The 16,051-nt window shown below is 49.4% G+C and overlaps 1 protein-coding gene across 9 annotated transcripts in view, besides 2 other annotated features; it reads right to left on the bottom strand.

Annotated features, from left to right (window-relative positions):
• Positions 1-16,051, bottom strand: part of ESRRB (estrogen related receptor beta) — a 191,061-nt gene that overhangs the window by 26,844 nt on the left and 148,166 nt on the right. For all 9 annotated transcript variants that reach the window (XM_047431079.1, NM_001411038.1, NM_004452.4 and 6 more), the window contains one exon: positions 12,333-12,449. In XM_047431079.1, coding sequence (XP_047287035.1) covers positions 12,333-12,449 — 117 coding nt within the window. The remainder of the gene's footprint in view (positions 1-12,332; positions 12,450-16,051) is intronic.
• Positions 1,112-1,181: an enhancer, noted in NCBI's record as "active region_8770". NCBI's record gives its function as "activates an Ori minimal core promoter by ATAC-STARR-seq in GM12878 lymphoblastoid cells {active_cell/tissue: GM12878}" and the evidence as "EXISTENCE:reporter gene assay evidence [ECO:0000049][PMID:35858748]".
• Positions 1,192-1,241: an enhancer, noted in NCBI's record as "active region_8769". NCBI's record gives its function as "activates an Ori minimal core promoter by ATAC-STARR-seq in GM12878 lymphoblastoid cells {active_cell/tissue: GM12878}" and the evidence as "EXISTENCE:reporter gene assay evidence [ECO:0000049][PMID:35858748]".

Below are 16,051 nucleotides of genomic sequence, written 5' to 3'. Positions count from 1 at the left end.
GCCTCCCAAAGTGCTGGGATTACAGGTATGAACCACTGTGCCTGGCCCCCTCCTTTCTTTTTTTTTTTGGTAGATGGGGGATCTCACTATGTTGCCCAGGCTGGACTTGAACTCCTGGTCTGATGGTGATTACATAATGGTTTGTTTTGTTTTGTTTTGTTTTGTTTTGTTTTGTTTGAGACAGGGTCGCAGTTTGTCACCCAGGCTAGAGTGCAGTGGCACGATCCTGGACTCAAGTGATCCTCCTGCCTCGGCCTCCTGAATAGCCGGGATTATGGGTACATGCCACCACACCTGGCTAATTTTTGTATATTTTGTAGAGATAGGGTTTCACCATGTTGGCCAGGCTAGTCTCAAACTCCTGAGCTTAAGCAATCCACCCTCTTCAGCCTCCCGAAATACTGGGATTACAGGCATGAGCCACAGTACATGGCCGGTGATTGCATAATATTGTGAATGTGTTTGATGTCACTGAATTGTACACTTAATTTCTAAAATGCCAAGTTGTACTTGACGTATATTTTGCCACAATTTACAAATATAGGAATACAAAACGCTATCAAACTGTATACTTTAAATGGGTGAACTATATTTCAATAAAGCTGTTAAAATTTTTTAAAAATATGTATCCTTTCTCAGGTTAGTGGAATTAACAACATAAAATATTGAAACGTAACAGAGTGCTTGGTACACAGTAGGCACTCAGTAGTAACTTCTTGCCTTTCATCTGCCTGTTGAAGGTCATAGAGTCTGGCTTGAACTGCCTTCCTCATGGAAGAGAGAAACACATCCCCACAGTTGTAACTACTGTCAGTCAGATGTATTAAACAAAATCCCTGAAGAAATTAAGGTTCAGAGAGGTTAAATATTGTGCCCAGGGCACACAGCCCCAACACTGGGACTCTCTGGAATATGCCAGTGGGTCTGATGGCTGCCTTTGTCCAACTTGAGAACAGAGGTTCCACCCTTGGCTGCAGTCATAACTGCTCCCACCTCCACCGGCCTCGTCACCAGGCTGGTGCCCCTCGTGCCTGTGGGGGCCAAGCCCACTTCCCAGCTCAGGGCACAAAAAATAGCAAAGAAGCTTCGGGGCCACTCTGGGACAGAAACTCCTTGAGAGGAGGGGAGCGGGGCTCCCCCTCTGCTGGCCTCTCCAATCCACTGCAGGCACGTCACAGCGTCCACAGCCGGCACCTTACACATCCGGGATTGGATACCCACTTGCTGACTTGATAAGATCAGGTTTCTGACATTTTTCTTAATGGAAGTAAAATAATTCCTTCTTCCCTCCACCTCCCTCCTTTCTTCTCATCTTCCCTGCCTAAGCTGGACAAGATCCCAGTCTTTCGGAAGTAAAAATAGCCGAGTGTGCAGGGTCAGCCGCAGCGGGGCCACTTTAAGCTTCTTTCTTTTACACCCGGGCACTAAAAATAGCCGGCTAAAGCTCTGCAAAGCGTGGCCCTGCACCTGGCCCTAAGCCTGTCCCAGGCGCTTCCCACATCATATTTCTCTTCCAACAGGAAAGGTTCAGACAGGGCAGGCGAGGGAAAGGCCTCTGCCCTCCCATCAGCTACTATCCAGGTCTGAGGTCAAGATCCCCACTGGCATTGCAAGGTTTTCATGACCAACACCCTTCTCTTCCCCTTATCCAGAACTTTCCCCCATCACCAAATTCAACATCCCTGGTTTATTAACGAAATAAGCAGCTTCATGGTTTACAAATCTATTTCATACCCGTATCTCATTTAAGCTGCCCAACAATGTTGAGGAGGAAGAATATACATGATTATGATTAGTTCCATGCAAGATCTGAAGCTCAGAAAGGTCAGGCGACTCGTTCAGGATCACACATCCAAGAAACGTCACAGGGAAATTTTGAACCTTGATTTTCAGATCTCCAAGTCCTATCTTCTTTGCCCTAAACTTGTGACGCCAGTCCCATATAACCTCAGAATGCCCTAGGAAGCCTTTGAACGGCACAGACTTTGAGGACTTACTCATTTAGAGGCTCTGAGTCAGTAGGTCTAGGGAGATGTCGAGGAATGAGTATTTTTCCAAAGCTCCTCTACTAATTCTAATTATGTGCCAGGTCTGGGGAGCACTGTGCTAAACCCGTTTTTTCAATACTTTTATGTGGCCAGTGTTCTTCCCAGGAAACTTGGGGGTGAACTCCCTGCCTGTAGGTTCTACCAAACTATAGCTGACCCATCTCCAGGAGGAGGAGAAAACCACCCAGAAGGTGATGTGGGTATCATGAGCCCCTGAGGTTCTGGAAGTTGTGTGGGCATGCTGATGGGCATTCCAGCCCAGTGCAATGCCCTGAACTCTCAGCCACAACCCTTGTATACACTGGACTTCCTTCAGCCACCTGTCCTGTGCGGGTTTCTGGGTGACAGGCAAGCTTGCCTTGCTGCCTCAGACACAATGGCTCATTTGGGCTGCCTCTTACCCCAGTGACACACCGTAAAGGCAGAGTGCCTCACACCTGACTTCCTAAAAGCTAAGAGAGAGAGCCTTGTAGCTAAACAGACATACATGACACCTAATATTCCAGGGCTTTTGCCAGCTGCTCTGTGGGCTCCGGGCACTGTGGTGGATAAGTGTTAGTGAGTGATGAGCTCTCAGAATTCTGCCTATTAAAGGAGTGTCTGCTATCATGCTGGGCTCCTCTAGACACTTCTTACCATGCCACCATGTCCCCAAGGGCATTTTGACAAAACTGTGTTACGCCTGCATTCCCAACTGCCAAGAAGTCTCCAAAACTGTACGCCTGACACAGAGAAGTTATTTCAGCCCAGCTTCCCTTTCCGTTCCTTTCTTTTTTCCCCTTTGAGAAAGGGCTACAGGCTTCACTACTGGCCAAGGCATCAACCGTGAGGTTCGAATAGGCTTCTTAGAAGGAATTCCACATAGCCAAGGAGACTAGATTCCACCCAGCTCTGTCATTAACTAGCTGTCTGGCCTTGGTCAAATCGCTGAAACTCAGTTGACCAGATCAGGCATGGCAAAGACTTATCACCTGTGCCCCTGCCTTCCATTTCTTAGTCTGTGGCAGACATTGCTAATCAATCATGGCACTCTTACCTGCTGATCCCAGACACTGCCTAAGAAGCCTTTCAATCATGCACTCCAGCTGAGTGCAACTAAAGGCAACTTGCCATCCTGGAGCCTGAATTAAGAACAACTGTGTTAGAGGCAGCCAGTGCAAACACGTCTGCAAATAAATAAATAAATAAGATAATGTCAGACTGAAAGAAGTTCAATGAAGAAGCATACAAGGGGATATGACAGCAAGTAATAGAGTGGATAGGGAGGCCTTTCTGAGAAGATAACATTTAACTTGAGGTCGGAAGGATAAGAAGGAGCCAGCTTTGGGGAGAGGATTCCAGGCAGAGGGAAGGCCCTGAAAGTCCTAAGATGGGAAACAGTTTGTCATGCTTGAGGGTCAAAAATAAGCCAGGGAGGCTGGAGCAGAGTGGGTAGGAGTGAACAGACAGGAAAGGAATGGTATGAGATGATACTGAAGAGGTAGGGAGTGGGTAGACCATGCAAGGTCTTGAAGACCAAAGCAAAGTGTTTGGATTGTATTTTAAGTGCTATGGAGAGCCACTGAGTGATGTAAAGCAAAATGACAGAATCTTACCAGTGCTTTAACAAGATCACTGCTAGGGGGATTAAACAGGACTAAGAGTGGAATCAGAAGTCCAGTTAGGAAACTGCCACAGTGGTCCAGGAAAAAACAATGCTTCCTTGGACCAGGGTCATGACCATGGAGATGAAGAAAAGTAGGAGAATCTGAAATACATTTTGGACATTGACCTGGGAGGAGTCAAGGATGACCTCCAGGTTTCTTTTGAGCAATAGGTGACTAGCATCACCATTCCTGAGATGGGAAAGACTGGAAGCAATAGAAGGAGGAATGGTTCAAACCTAGAGTTCCTCTCTAGACATGTTTAATCTGTGATGTCTCATAAAGGACACAAGTGGCAATGCCAATAGTGTGGTTAGATATTCAGGTCTAAAATATCTAGGGAAGAATTTGGGAGGCTGAAGCAGGAGGGTTGCTTTATGCCAGGGGTTCGAGACCAGCCTGGGCAATATAAGCAAGACCTTTGTCTCTACAAAAAAAATTTTTTAAATTAGCCCCACATGTTGGCACATGCCTGTAGACCAGCTACTTAGGAGGCTGAGGTGGGGAGGATCTCTTGAGCCCAATAGTTTGAGGTTACAGTGAGCTATGATCATGTCACTGCACTCCAGCCTGGGCCACAGAGCAATACCTTGTCTCTTTAAAAACAGCAACAATAACAAAATCCCCACAAAAAAACAATACTTGTATTTGAAAATATGTCATTCCCTTTTTCCATACCAACAACGTTTTAGCTGGGTACACAGCGTCCCAGATAATGGCTACAATTCCAAGACTCCCTGGCAGAAAAGTGTGGCCCTGGGCTGTGAGTGGGAAGAACAGATGTGTGCTACTTAGGGTCCAGCCCTTCACATGGAGCTTTTCCTCCTTCTAGATGTCTGTGAGATGGGAAGAACTGGGGTCCACAAGGGCAAGCCACATGCTAAGCTTGGCAGAGCTGCCAGCCAGTCTGGGATTGCCTGTGACCTTCTGACTGTTATGTAAGAAATGAGCGGGAATGAAACTGCTATCCTGCTTAGGCTTCTGGGTGGTTTTGGGGTTTGGTTTGGTTTGTGGAGGGAAAAAGGGAGTCTCCTTCTTTTAGAAGCCTAGCGTGGCCTGGAGCAGTAGCTCATGCCTATAATCCCAACACTTTGGGAGGCCAAGGCAGGTGGATCACCTGAGGTCAGGAGTTCAAGACTAGCCTGGGCCAACATGGTGAAACCCCATCTCTACTAAAATTACAAAAAATTAACCAGGCGTGGTGATGCATGCCTGTAATAGCAGCTACTCAGGAGGCTGAGGCAGGAGAATCTCTTGAACCTGGGAGGCAGGGGTTGCAGTGAGCCAAGATTGTGCCATTGCACTCCAGCCTGGGTGACAGAGCAAGACTCTGTCTCAAAAAAAAAAAAAAAAAAAAAGAAAAAAAAAAAAAACAACAAAAAACACAGCCTAGTCTTTACCTAATGTACTATATTATAAGTGTATTTCTGGATCTATTCAATGTTTACTTTTTAAAGAAGTTTTTTTAAAGAAAGGGGTGAATGGGACAAGAAAATGAACATAGCAAGTGCTGTCAATTCCTTTAGGAGGTTTTGTTGAGAAAGACAGTGGGATCAGGTAGCAATATCTAGATGGAGATGAAGGGACAAAATATAGTTGTGGATTTTTTTAAATTTAATTTTGTTTTTGGCTGGGCGTGGTGACCCACCCCTGTCATCCCAGCATTTTGAGGGGCTAAGGTGGGTTGATTGCTTGAGCCCAAGAGTTTGAGACCAGCCTGTCTCTTTTTTTAATGTGAAAAAAAATTTTTTTAACATTTTTTAAAAGTTAAAAAATAAATTTAATTTTGTCTTCATAATGGGAGAACAGAAGTGTACTTGTGTGCTAATGAAATGATCCAGTAGTGAGAGAGAATTCGATGATGCTGGAAGCAGAGAAGATACTATAGGAATGAAGTCCTTGGTAAGGGGTTGGGCATGGTAGCTCACTCCTGCAATCCCAGCACTTGGGGAGGCTGAGGCGGGCAGATCATTTGAGGTCAGGAGTTCACGAACAGCCTGACCAACATGGTGAAACCCTGTCTCTACTAAAAATACAAAAACTTAGCTGGGCATGGTGGCGCATGCCTATAATCTCAGCTACTTGGGAAGTTGAGGCAGGAGAATCGCTTGAACCTGGGAGGCAGAGGTTGCAGTGAACAGAGATGGCACCACTGCAGTCCAGCCAGGGCAACAGAGCGAGACTCCATCTCAGAAAAAAAAATAAATAAAGGAATGAAGTCCTTGGTAAAGAAGAGAGCGATTCAGAGCACAGAAGGGCAGGAGGGGGACCAGCGTTTGTCAGGATTGGGAATACCTCTATTCTACCAAGAAGAAGGCAGAAAACAGGTGCACAAACTGGTAGGTTTGTGGATTCAATGGTAGGAGGGTAAGATGTGTCCCATTTGACTTTCTATTTTTTCATGAAAATGTGAAGCAAGATTACAAGAGTAGGGAGTGAGGCTACAGGAGATTCAAAATTGCCTCTGGATCACAGAAGAATATCCATTTTGTACATGAAGAATATCTATCTCCAATCAACAATCAGACTTCACAGTATAACTCTAGGAGCTTTCCCTGAAGATTGGGAGCAAGATGAAGATAGGCACTATTATGATTCCCATTTTATGGAGGAGGAAAGGGAGGCTTACAGGGGTTTAAGTAACTGGCCCAAGGAGTCGATAAGTGGTGAAGATGAGGTTTAACCAGGCCTACGTGACCACCGTACCGTTATCCAAAAGCCTGCAGGGAACAGTAAGAACGATTTAGCACAGACAAGATCATCTCCTTCGTCTTCATTCAATCAACACTTCTCCAACCAGAGGTCATTGTGGCTGAGTGGCCCAAAGGCTTCAGGGTGCCTGGGAAGATCCTGTGAGCTGTCAGGTATGTGTGTGTGTGCGTGTTTGGGGGGTGGTGGTGTTGGGGGGGGGGCAGTGTGTGTAGAATGTAAAGTGGCTCGAAAGGGATGCAACACACATTGGCATTCTCAGGCTGTAGCTCAATACCATTCTATAAAGTGGTAAAGAGTTGGTTTGTTTCAAAACACTAATATATTTTGGAAAAGAAAAAGAATTTTTAAAGGCAAGTCATCTCTCTTGCTCTTTCTTCATTCACAGGGCCAGAAAAAAAGTGATATTTCTGGCATGGGCTAGAGGCAGAATACTCTATAAATACAAGGCCATTAAATCCCATGCAGTGGGAACCTGATCAGGGCCTCCTTTTAATTTCCTGACATGAGCTGGCCACTAACACAATTACCCAGAATCCCCGGAGGAGCCCTCCACCTTCCCAACAAGCACAAAGCAAGTGAGAGCATATTGCATGGATGTCGGCCCAGCTTTCACTGAAATCAAATATCTTTTAGAAAACACTTGGGGAAAGGCAGGCAGGGGCTGAGTGGGGGAGAAATGGAGCGGGCTTGGGAGGCCGGTCGCGTGAGGGAGGTGAGGTGAGGAGGAGGTGAAGTTGGCGGGGACAGGCTGTCTAGAGAGAATTGCTGATATCCCAGAGCTGTACTGAGGCCTCGGGGAGCCCCTTAGGAAATGCAGCTAGTGGTTTTCCAGAGTCAGTCCACACCCTAGCCAGGCTGCAAAGGCTGACTACCAGGGGAGCTGCCCATCCTGATTCTAGAACCCACAGTGGGGACCAGCCCAAGACAAGGCCGTCTTTTAAGATTCCCACCAACAAATCTAGGAAGAAAATCAGGGTGGCCAGACACCAGTCTGCCTCCCCAAACACAAGGGGCAGACTGATGAAAAGCTGAGTGTAAATGAGGTTGTCTTTGAATCAAACACTAGAATTTTTTTTTTTTTTTTTTTTTTGAGACAGAGGCTTGCACTGTCGCCCAGGCTGGAATGCAGTGACACAATCTCAGCTCACTGCAACCTCTGCCTCCTGGGTTCAAGCAATGCTCCTGCCTCAGTTTCCAGAGTAGCTGGGATTACATGCGCGTGCCACCACGCCCAGCTAATTTTTGTATTTTTAGTAGAGAAGGCATTTTACCATGTTGGCCAGGCTGGTCTCGAACTCCTGACCTCAGGTGATCTGCCCACCTTGGCCTCCCCAAGTGCTGGGATTACAGGCATGAGCCACCGCACCCAGCCTGAATCCAACACTGGAGTATTTTAACGCATCAAGGGAGCTGACATTGCAAAGCAATCCCATAGTGGATTCTGCCAAGAGGAGCTGTCCCATCTGTCCCAGGTCCCCACTTTGACCTGGTGAAGGAAAGCAGGTATCAACATCCCCGTTTTACAGTGAAGAAATGGAAGCAGGTGGGCGTGAGTAATAATATTAAACAGCAGCTGGGGGCAGTGGCTCACGCCTGTAATCCCAGCACTTTGGGAGGCTGAGGCGGGCAGATCACAAGGTTGAGACTGAGACCATCCTGGCCAACATGGTGAAACCCCATCTCTACTAAAAATACAAAAATTAGCTGGGCGTGGTGTTGCACACTTGTAGTCTCAGCTACCCAGGAGACTGAAGCAGGAGAATTGCTTGAACCCGGGAGGTGGAGGGTGTGGTGAGCCTAGATCGCGCCACTGCACTCCAGCCTGGCGACAGAGTGAGGCTTTTTTTTGTCTTTCTCAAAAGAAAAAAAAAAAATTACACGGGCAAAAATACCTAATAACCAGGGGCAGAACACAGGCCATCAACTCCTAACCCAGATTTTGTGTTCAGTTTTTAAAAGAGAAAAATTACCTTTTCTCTGAAAATACAGATTTTTATGTACTAGATTTGCTTAAAGCAAGATAGGCCTTTGGACAGCTCCTGTTTTCCATGGTCTGCTCTGGATGTTCCAGGGAGAAAGTCACAGGGACGTGGCCATAGGATCTGTCCCCAGCCACGTGAGGAATCTGAAAAGCTTAGATCCCTGAGCTGGCCACAGTCTTAAGAGAGAGGGAGAGCCAGAGGAAGCCCCAAGTCTGATTTCTTCTGTGGCTGTTGCTGGGCCCCCAAACTGGGAAACGATCTCTGATTATTTTACCTAAGAAAGGAAAAATCATAAAACACAAGGAGAATGTGGCTGGATGAGGGCGGGAGGGTGGTGTTCAGACGTGCAGGCGAGGGGAGCAGAGAGGGCGGAGGCACCCACATCTCTCCGTCTGCAGCCCTCCCCAAGCCCCTGGACCCCCAAAGCCCCCCAAGCAACAGAGGCCCACTATGGGACCCTAAAGCGGAGAGCAGCCCTGGGGAAGGTGAAGTTTGCCTTTTAGAGTCCCGTCAGAGTCTGAGGTGGGCGATGAGCCCACGCTGGTCTTGGGGGGCCTGGGCCTTGCCTGCAGAGCCAGGAGGGACACCCAAACAAAAGCCAAGCCAGGCAGCTGCCAAGAGCCCCCACCTGGCAGGGGCCCAGGCTGTTGAAGGAGGATGCTCCTCCCAAGGGGGTCGGTCCCCACGGAGCTTCAGATCCCAGGATCTCTCCAAGGCCCTGCAGGGGACAGAAACTAAACGTGGCTCCCTGCTTTGTCCGTACTCAGGAGCCTTTGTGTCATCTCCCCGCTCTTGGATCTGGACCTGCCAGCACTGGCGGGGAGTGGGGGAGGGAGCGTTCTAGTGGCTGTCCCTTCCTCCTTCAGGCAGAACTCCTTAAAGGGCCTTTTCGAGCCGAGCATGTCTGCCTGGGAGGCCCCAGCTGCCACCCTGGGTAAAGACCATCAACCAAAGGGCTATATTTGCAGCGGGGCAGGGGTGTCAACACTGAGGCTTCCCCTGAACATCCTCCCCACTTGAGGCAGCAGGGGTCTCATGCCCCTGTCCTCCCAGCACCCCCGATACCATCATCCTGGGACACACAGTGTCCACCTCGTTTCTCTGACAAGTGCCAGTCTGGATGTCTGAGTGGCCACCGGTCAATTGTGGGCCTCACCACCTCCCTCCCTGCCATCAGTGCACCCCTTCACCATCTCCTGCTTTCTGGGAAGCCACTAGAAAGTGCCCTTCTCTCTTCCCAGCACTGCATAGCCCCTAAAGAGACTCTGCTCAGTGTTACAAGATGGTCCAGGAATTGAGTGGGAGGTTCCCTCTCGACCTCCCCCATCCCTGTGCTGTGCCATGGGGAGCAGGCACTGAACAGGGCAAGGAAAGTTCCAGCCTCTGGGCCCAGCTCCCCTCAGATGAATGTGTGACTGAGGGTAGGAGTCATCTCACCCCAGCCCCTGTAGGGCTCCATTTTGTCACCTGTAAAATTCAGGGCTATATTGAAAACAATGAGGCTTCTGGCTGCTCTAAGTGCCGCGGATACTGTCAAGTAGGCAGGGAGGCTGCACGCTGTGACCAAGTGGCCCCTGGCCCCCTGCTTGACCTGCTGTTCTCACATCCAGCTCTGTATGTGAGAACAACAGGTCAAGCAGCTCTGTCTCTTGGGCTTAAGAGGAATGAATGAGTCTCCAAAGCTTAGAAACCCTCAGATTCCCAGCACCACACGGAGAGAAAGTCAAGAGACCAGCACTCAGGCATGCTTCTATGGGCCTTTTGCCTCAATTTTCCCATCTGTGAATACCAGGAGGCTCTGAAGGAGCAGAAAGGGCCCAACATAGGAGTCAGGGGACCCAGTTCAGCCACTAGTTTGGGTCATCCTATCCAGGAGCAAGACCAAAATTATATAGAGTCAAAAATGAACCAACAGACAGCCTTTCTGCGGGCTCGATGTAGCCCATTTTTAATCTGGAAAGGAGACTGTTTTTTCGGTTGAGCCCCTAACGAAGCAGCTGGCCTGTCTAAGAGCTGAGTGGTCCACTCCATCACAAAGGGGTTAAATGAAGCCCCGAATGAGGAGCATTTTAAAAGCCAGTGTGCCATGTCGACACAAAGGCCGCCGAGGGCCTGCTTCAAGAGCTTCTGTTTTATGGATACAGGTGCTGGGCTGAGCTGAGGTGAAGTGGGGGACCTGGAAATGGTAAACGGAAGTGGAAGGTCCAATTTCTATAGCACATGATGGTCCAAGTTGTATTGACAAAGCGTCTTAGGTCTGGGCCCTTATCTTCAGAGGGCCCTGGGAGAGGGGGTAGCAGGAGTGCCCTGGGGCTCCCAAGGCTGGGCTGGGCTTCCAGAAGCCCACTCCTAGCCTTCCCCCTCCAGGAAGGGTCTGGATTCCAAACCTGTCCCTTCGTTCTCTCTGTAGCCCCTTCTGATCACCCCCACACACCTCTTTTCCTGTTTCCTCCCACTTCTAGAAGGATTCCAGGCCCGGAGCTTAAAAGTTGATCTCTAAGAATTTTCACTGGCTCCCCTTGGAAGCTGGAGAAGCAGGGAAACACATACACTCACGACCCATCCCCAAAATGGTACTGAACAAGGTTCCTCAAACTGAAAACATCGGCTGGGCATAGTGGCTCATGCCTGTAATCCCAGCACTTTAGGAGGCTGAGGTGGGAGGACTGCCTGAGCCCAGGAGTTGGAGACCAACCTGAGCAACATGGCAAGACCTTGCCTCTATCAATAATATTTTAATATAAAAAAAGGAGCAAATCAGTAGAGAAAGTGAGGAAGAGGAGACCTGGAGCAGTTGTCCCAATGAGAGCTACGTGTCATTTCAAATTTTCTAGTAGTCACATTAACGAATAGATAAAAAGAGGCCGGGTGCGGTGGCTTACACCTGTAATCCCAGCACTTTGGGAGGCTGAGACGGGCAGATCACGAGGTCAGGAAATCGAGACCATCCTGGCTAACACCGTGAAACCCCGTCTCTACTAAAAATACAAAAAAATTAGCCGGGCGAGGTGGCGGGCGCCTGTAGTCCCAGCTACTCGGGAGGCTGAGGCATGAGAATGGCGTGAACCCAGGAGGCAGAGCTTGCAGTGAGCCGAGATTGCGCCACTGCACTCCAGCCTGGGTGACAGAGCAAGACTCCGTCTCCAAAAAAAAAAAAAAAAAACAAAGAAGCATGTGATGCTAATTTCACAATATGTTTTATTTAACATGTCCAGAAGATTAGCCTTTCTGCATGCAATCACATTTTTAAAAGGATCACCACCAGACTTTACACTGCCTTTTATGGTCCTATTAAGTCCTCTAAAGCAGGCATGTGTTGTACACTCAGCACACCTCTGTTTGGACCAGCACTCGGGAGCCACGTGTGGCTGGTGGTTGCCATATTAGACAGCACAGCTCTAGAGACAGAGGACGCAGGGAGAGAAAGGAGAGGGAAGGGAGAGGATGGGAAGAGAGGGAACAAGGAAGGGAGCAGCATTCCCAAGGCAAGAGCCATGTCCTGTCCACCCACCAGAAAACAAATGCCATTCTTCACAGGTGAAGGGAACATTATTTATCATTCCCGGACTTAATGTGTCTGTCCTTTTCACCCCCAAGCCCTTGAGGGTGCTAGGTGATATAACAGCCTCTTAAGCCTACCCCTCCTAGGGTAGACGTGGGATTTGCCCCTAAAGGAGGGCCTTCCCAGAGTGCCAGGCCCACTGGGGCCCAAGTGGGGTCAGGGGTTCGGAAGGATCCTTAATGAAGAAATTCCAATTCCCACCTCCCTAAAGGAGGAGAGCCATGCGGGCGCCGTGGCAGGCTGGCAGGGTGTGGGAGGAGATGGGCGCTCAGACTGGGTCTCACCCTGGGACACAGGTCCACAGCTTGTGGGTGTCTCACAGGGGACAAAAACTCCCCAGCAAGCAGAGCCTCACAGTGAACCCCGACTCGGTGGGGTCTCTTACCTTCCTTCAGCATCCCCACTTTGAGGCATTTCATGAAGCGGCAGGCCTGGCAGGACTTGCGCCTCCGTTTGGTGATCTCGCACTCGTTGGTGGCCGGGCAGCTGTACTCAATGTTCCCTGCAACCAGACACAGAGAGGGTTGCCGGGTGCTGGCCGCCCAGGGCCCCCACCTGCCAGCGCAGGGCTGGCTGGATGGGGATTTTAATTTGCCAGAGCTGCCACTCCCCCCTAGTGTTCTCAAAGCAGGTGCTCTGAGGTGCTTGTCAGAACATTTTGAACTCTTCCATATGGAGACTCCAGGTGGCAGGTCTGGGTGGACCAGGCAGCTACTTGGGGAAACACTCTCCAGAGGATGGCCACCCACAGTGTTGAAGCCACTTCTGGGCAGGGACATCAAAACTCACTAAGCTGGCCTTTTACTCCAGGAGGAGAACGCCCCCTATGCTGACCAGAACATTAGTGCAGACCACCACTACCACCACCACCACCACCACCACCACAGGCTCCTCCAGCCTCCAGCCTGGGACCCCAACATGTGGGAAAAGCCTCCTGGAAACTCTGCGTCCACCAGGATCAAGGCCCGGGTTCTGCATCCCACTGGAGGGGCCCAGGCCACCTGGCTTTGCTAACCTTGAGGATATACTTTCCTCTGACCAAGTTGAAATTTCTTCATCTTCAAAACAGTGAGATAATCTACTAAATGAAGAATTAACCAAGACCACATATGGACAACTGCTTTAAACACTATTCAATGCGAGGGGGTCATTTTATGAGCAGAGTTCATTCAGCGGAGGGAATCTGTGATAAATTTTTCAGGCCACTCCTTTCATGGGTTATAAGAATGGCTACCAGGCCGGGTACAGTGGCTCATGCCTGTAATCCCAGCACTTTGGGAAGCCGAGGTTGGTGGATCACCTGAGGTCAGGAGTTCGAGACCAGCCTGACCAATATGGTGAAATGCCGTCTCTACTAAAAATACAAAAAAATTAGCCAGGTGTGGTGGCATGTGCCTGTAATCCCAGCTACTCGGGAGGCTGAGATAGGAGAATTGCTTGAACCCGGGAGGTAGAGGTTGCAGTGAGCCGAGATCACGCCACTTCACTCCAGCATGGGTGACAGACCGAGACTCTGTCTCAAACAAAACAAAACAAAACAAAACAAAACAAAACAAAACAAAACAAAAGAATGGCTACCATAAACCCAACCCATGCTCTTTTAAGCTGTAGGCCCCACGAAGCCAAGACCTTGGGCTGCTCCCCAGTGTCCAGCAGCACTTAGCACAGCCCCCGCAATATAGAGACAGGCAGGTAGAATGCAGTGAATGACTGATCTACAGAGTCCCTCCCCTCCCAATAGCAATTCCATGAAAGAGAAAATAAGTACTAATACTATTCCCATTTTACAGATGAGTTTTCCAAGTGTTTCTATGCAGTGTGAACACAGAGGTCTTATTTAGGTTGAACTGACCTTCCAGCGCTCTTCCTGGGAGGGTTGACAGTCCAGTCAGGAGAGGCTGTGACTGCCTTTCTAATACAGGCATCTGACCTGCTGACTCTTATTAACGAATACGCATTGAGCACCTACAATGTGCCTGGTAATGGAGGGAAAGACGATGGGGGGAGAGCAGGTGGGGGAGGTAAAGAAATGCAATTGGAGTGGCCGGGCGCAGTGGCTCATGCCTGTAATCCAGCACTTTGGGAGGCAGAGGTAGGTGGATCACCTGAGGTATGGAGTTCGAGACCAGCCTGGCCAATACGGTGAAACCCTGTCTCTACTAAAAATACAAAAAAAAATTAGTTGGGCATAGGGGTGGGCACCTATAATCACAGCTACTCGGAAGGCTGAGGCAGGAGAATCACTTGAACCCATGAGGCGGAGGTTGCAGTGAGCCGAGATTGCGCCATTGCACTCCAGCCTGGGTGACAAGAGCAAAACTCCGTCTCAAAAAAAAATGTAACTGGAACGTACAAATGAAGAACAGCACATCACAGTACTGTTTTGGTATTGTGTCTCTTCGACTCCTGTCCCAAAGTGCTTGAGGTCAGCCTGAGCCAGGGTTTTCCAGAACAGAATCTCTCAACTAGAACACATCTCTCGTTCCAGCCCCACCTCCTGAGGGAGCAGGGAGGAGCTGGAGGCTTGCCTATCTGAATCCTCCACACCAAACCCTACCCACTTCAGAGGAATAGCAGCTAAGATTTATTGTGCACCTACTGTGTGCATAGTCTGCACAGCTCCCTCAGTCCTCACAACAGCCTCTGAAGGCACATCAGTGTCCCATTTCATAGACCAAGAAACTGAGGCTCTGGGAGCTGAAGCAGGTTACCCAAGGCCACACAGATCTCCTGTCCCACCCTGTATCTCACAAGGAGGATGGGGAAATTGGAAGTGCTGCCCCACTGAGGACAGGTGCCTGGTGCTGACCCAGCGGCTGAGGTCGCCTGGTGGGTAGTAGGGGAGAAGGGTGGCCTTGGGCTTCCCTGTGTCACCACCTCCCCACATGGGATATGGATGGAAACCTTTTCTATTGGATTTTCTGGAAACAAGCATGAACCATGTTCTACCATTAACAAAGTGCTTTGAGGTAGCAAAATTACTCAATGTGCCTAACTGTATTGAGTACTCACAAAGGCTCAGAGAGTATTCTCATCCCTTTTTACTGGTGAAGAAAACTATTTCCGGAGCACCTCAGAGATCTACAGGTGAAGGCTAGCTATCCTCCCTCCCTCTCTCCCCATCTCCCTCTCTCCCCCTCTCCCTCTCTCTCCCTGTCTCAAGTCCAGCAGGCACCACCTTTCTCCCCATCCCATTTCTTGCAGGGAGGGAGCTGGAGGTCATGCTCTGTGCTGGAGGATGGAAGGCGATGGGAAGGGGAAGGGATGAAGATTCTGTGTACCCCTACCTGCTTTTGTCTAGCCCTATTTCTTAGAGCATTCTGGCTTGGGTGGTTTCTTGGGGAATAATTTCAATATTCATGTAAGCCCGGTAAAATTCAAAAGACAAACAGAAAGGAGAAAAACACATATGAAAGCTAATTCATTCAAGCTTTTATCTTGGCTTAGAAGGCGCTGGAGGATTTGGCCCGTTCCCACCCAGGCCCACCCTCTCTCTGCAGCCTCAGCGTGCTGATTCCCTCCATTCGCTCTGCATAACTATCACTTTCTGGAACTCCATGGTCTCCTAGGTCGCCAGGCCTTTGCTTTGCAGCTTAGAACAGACTCTCTATGCTCCCTCCACCCTCTGTTTCTCCAGGTCCCACATGGGGAGGCGCTCCTTCTCCCTGCTGATAACCCATTAATGTCCCCTGTGTTGTATCTGTCTGCCTCCTCCACCTACTCCAGCTCCTCTCTAGTCCCACTGCCTGGGACACCCAGCCGCTCAATGCGCACACACGGGGAGCTCACACTGGCGAATGCTTGTCAGGGAGCAGCCACAGCTCTGCTTTACAGATCCCAAGGATTTCATGTTCCCAGCAACCCCGGAGGTAAACAGATTTTTCTCATCTGTAAGATAGAGGGGCTGGGTGTGGTGGCTCACGCCTGTAATCCCAGCACTTTGGGAGGCCCAGGCAGTCAGATCATCTGAGGTCAGGAGTTCAAGACCAGCCTGGCCAACATGGTGAAACCCTGTCTCTACTAAAAATACAAAACTTAGCCAGGTGTGGTGGTGCACACCTGTAGTCCCAGCTAGTCGGGAGGCTGAGGCAGAAGGATTGCTTG

The sequence above is a fragment of the Homo sapiens genome, chromosome 14 (genome assembly GCF_000001405.40).
Source record: "Homo sapiens chromosome 14, GRCh38.p14 Primary Assembly".
NCBI lineage: Eukaryota > Metazoa > Chordata > Mammalia > Primates > Hominidae > Homo > Homo sapiens.
This window is presented reverse-complemented; position numbering and strand designations above follow the sequence as displayed.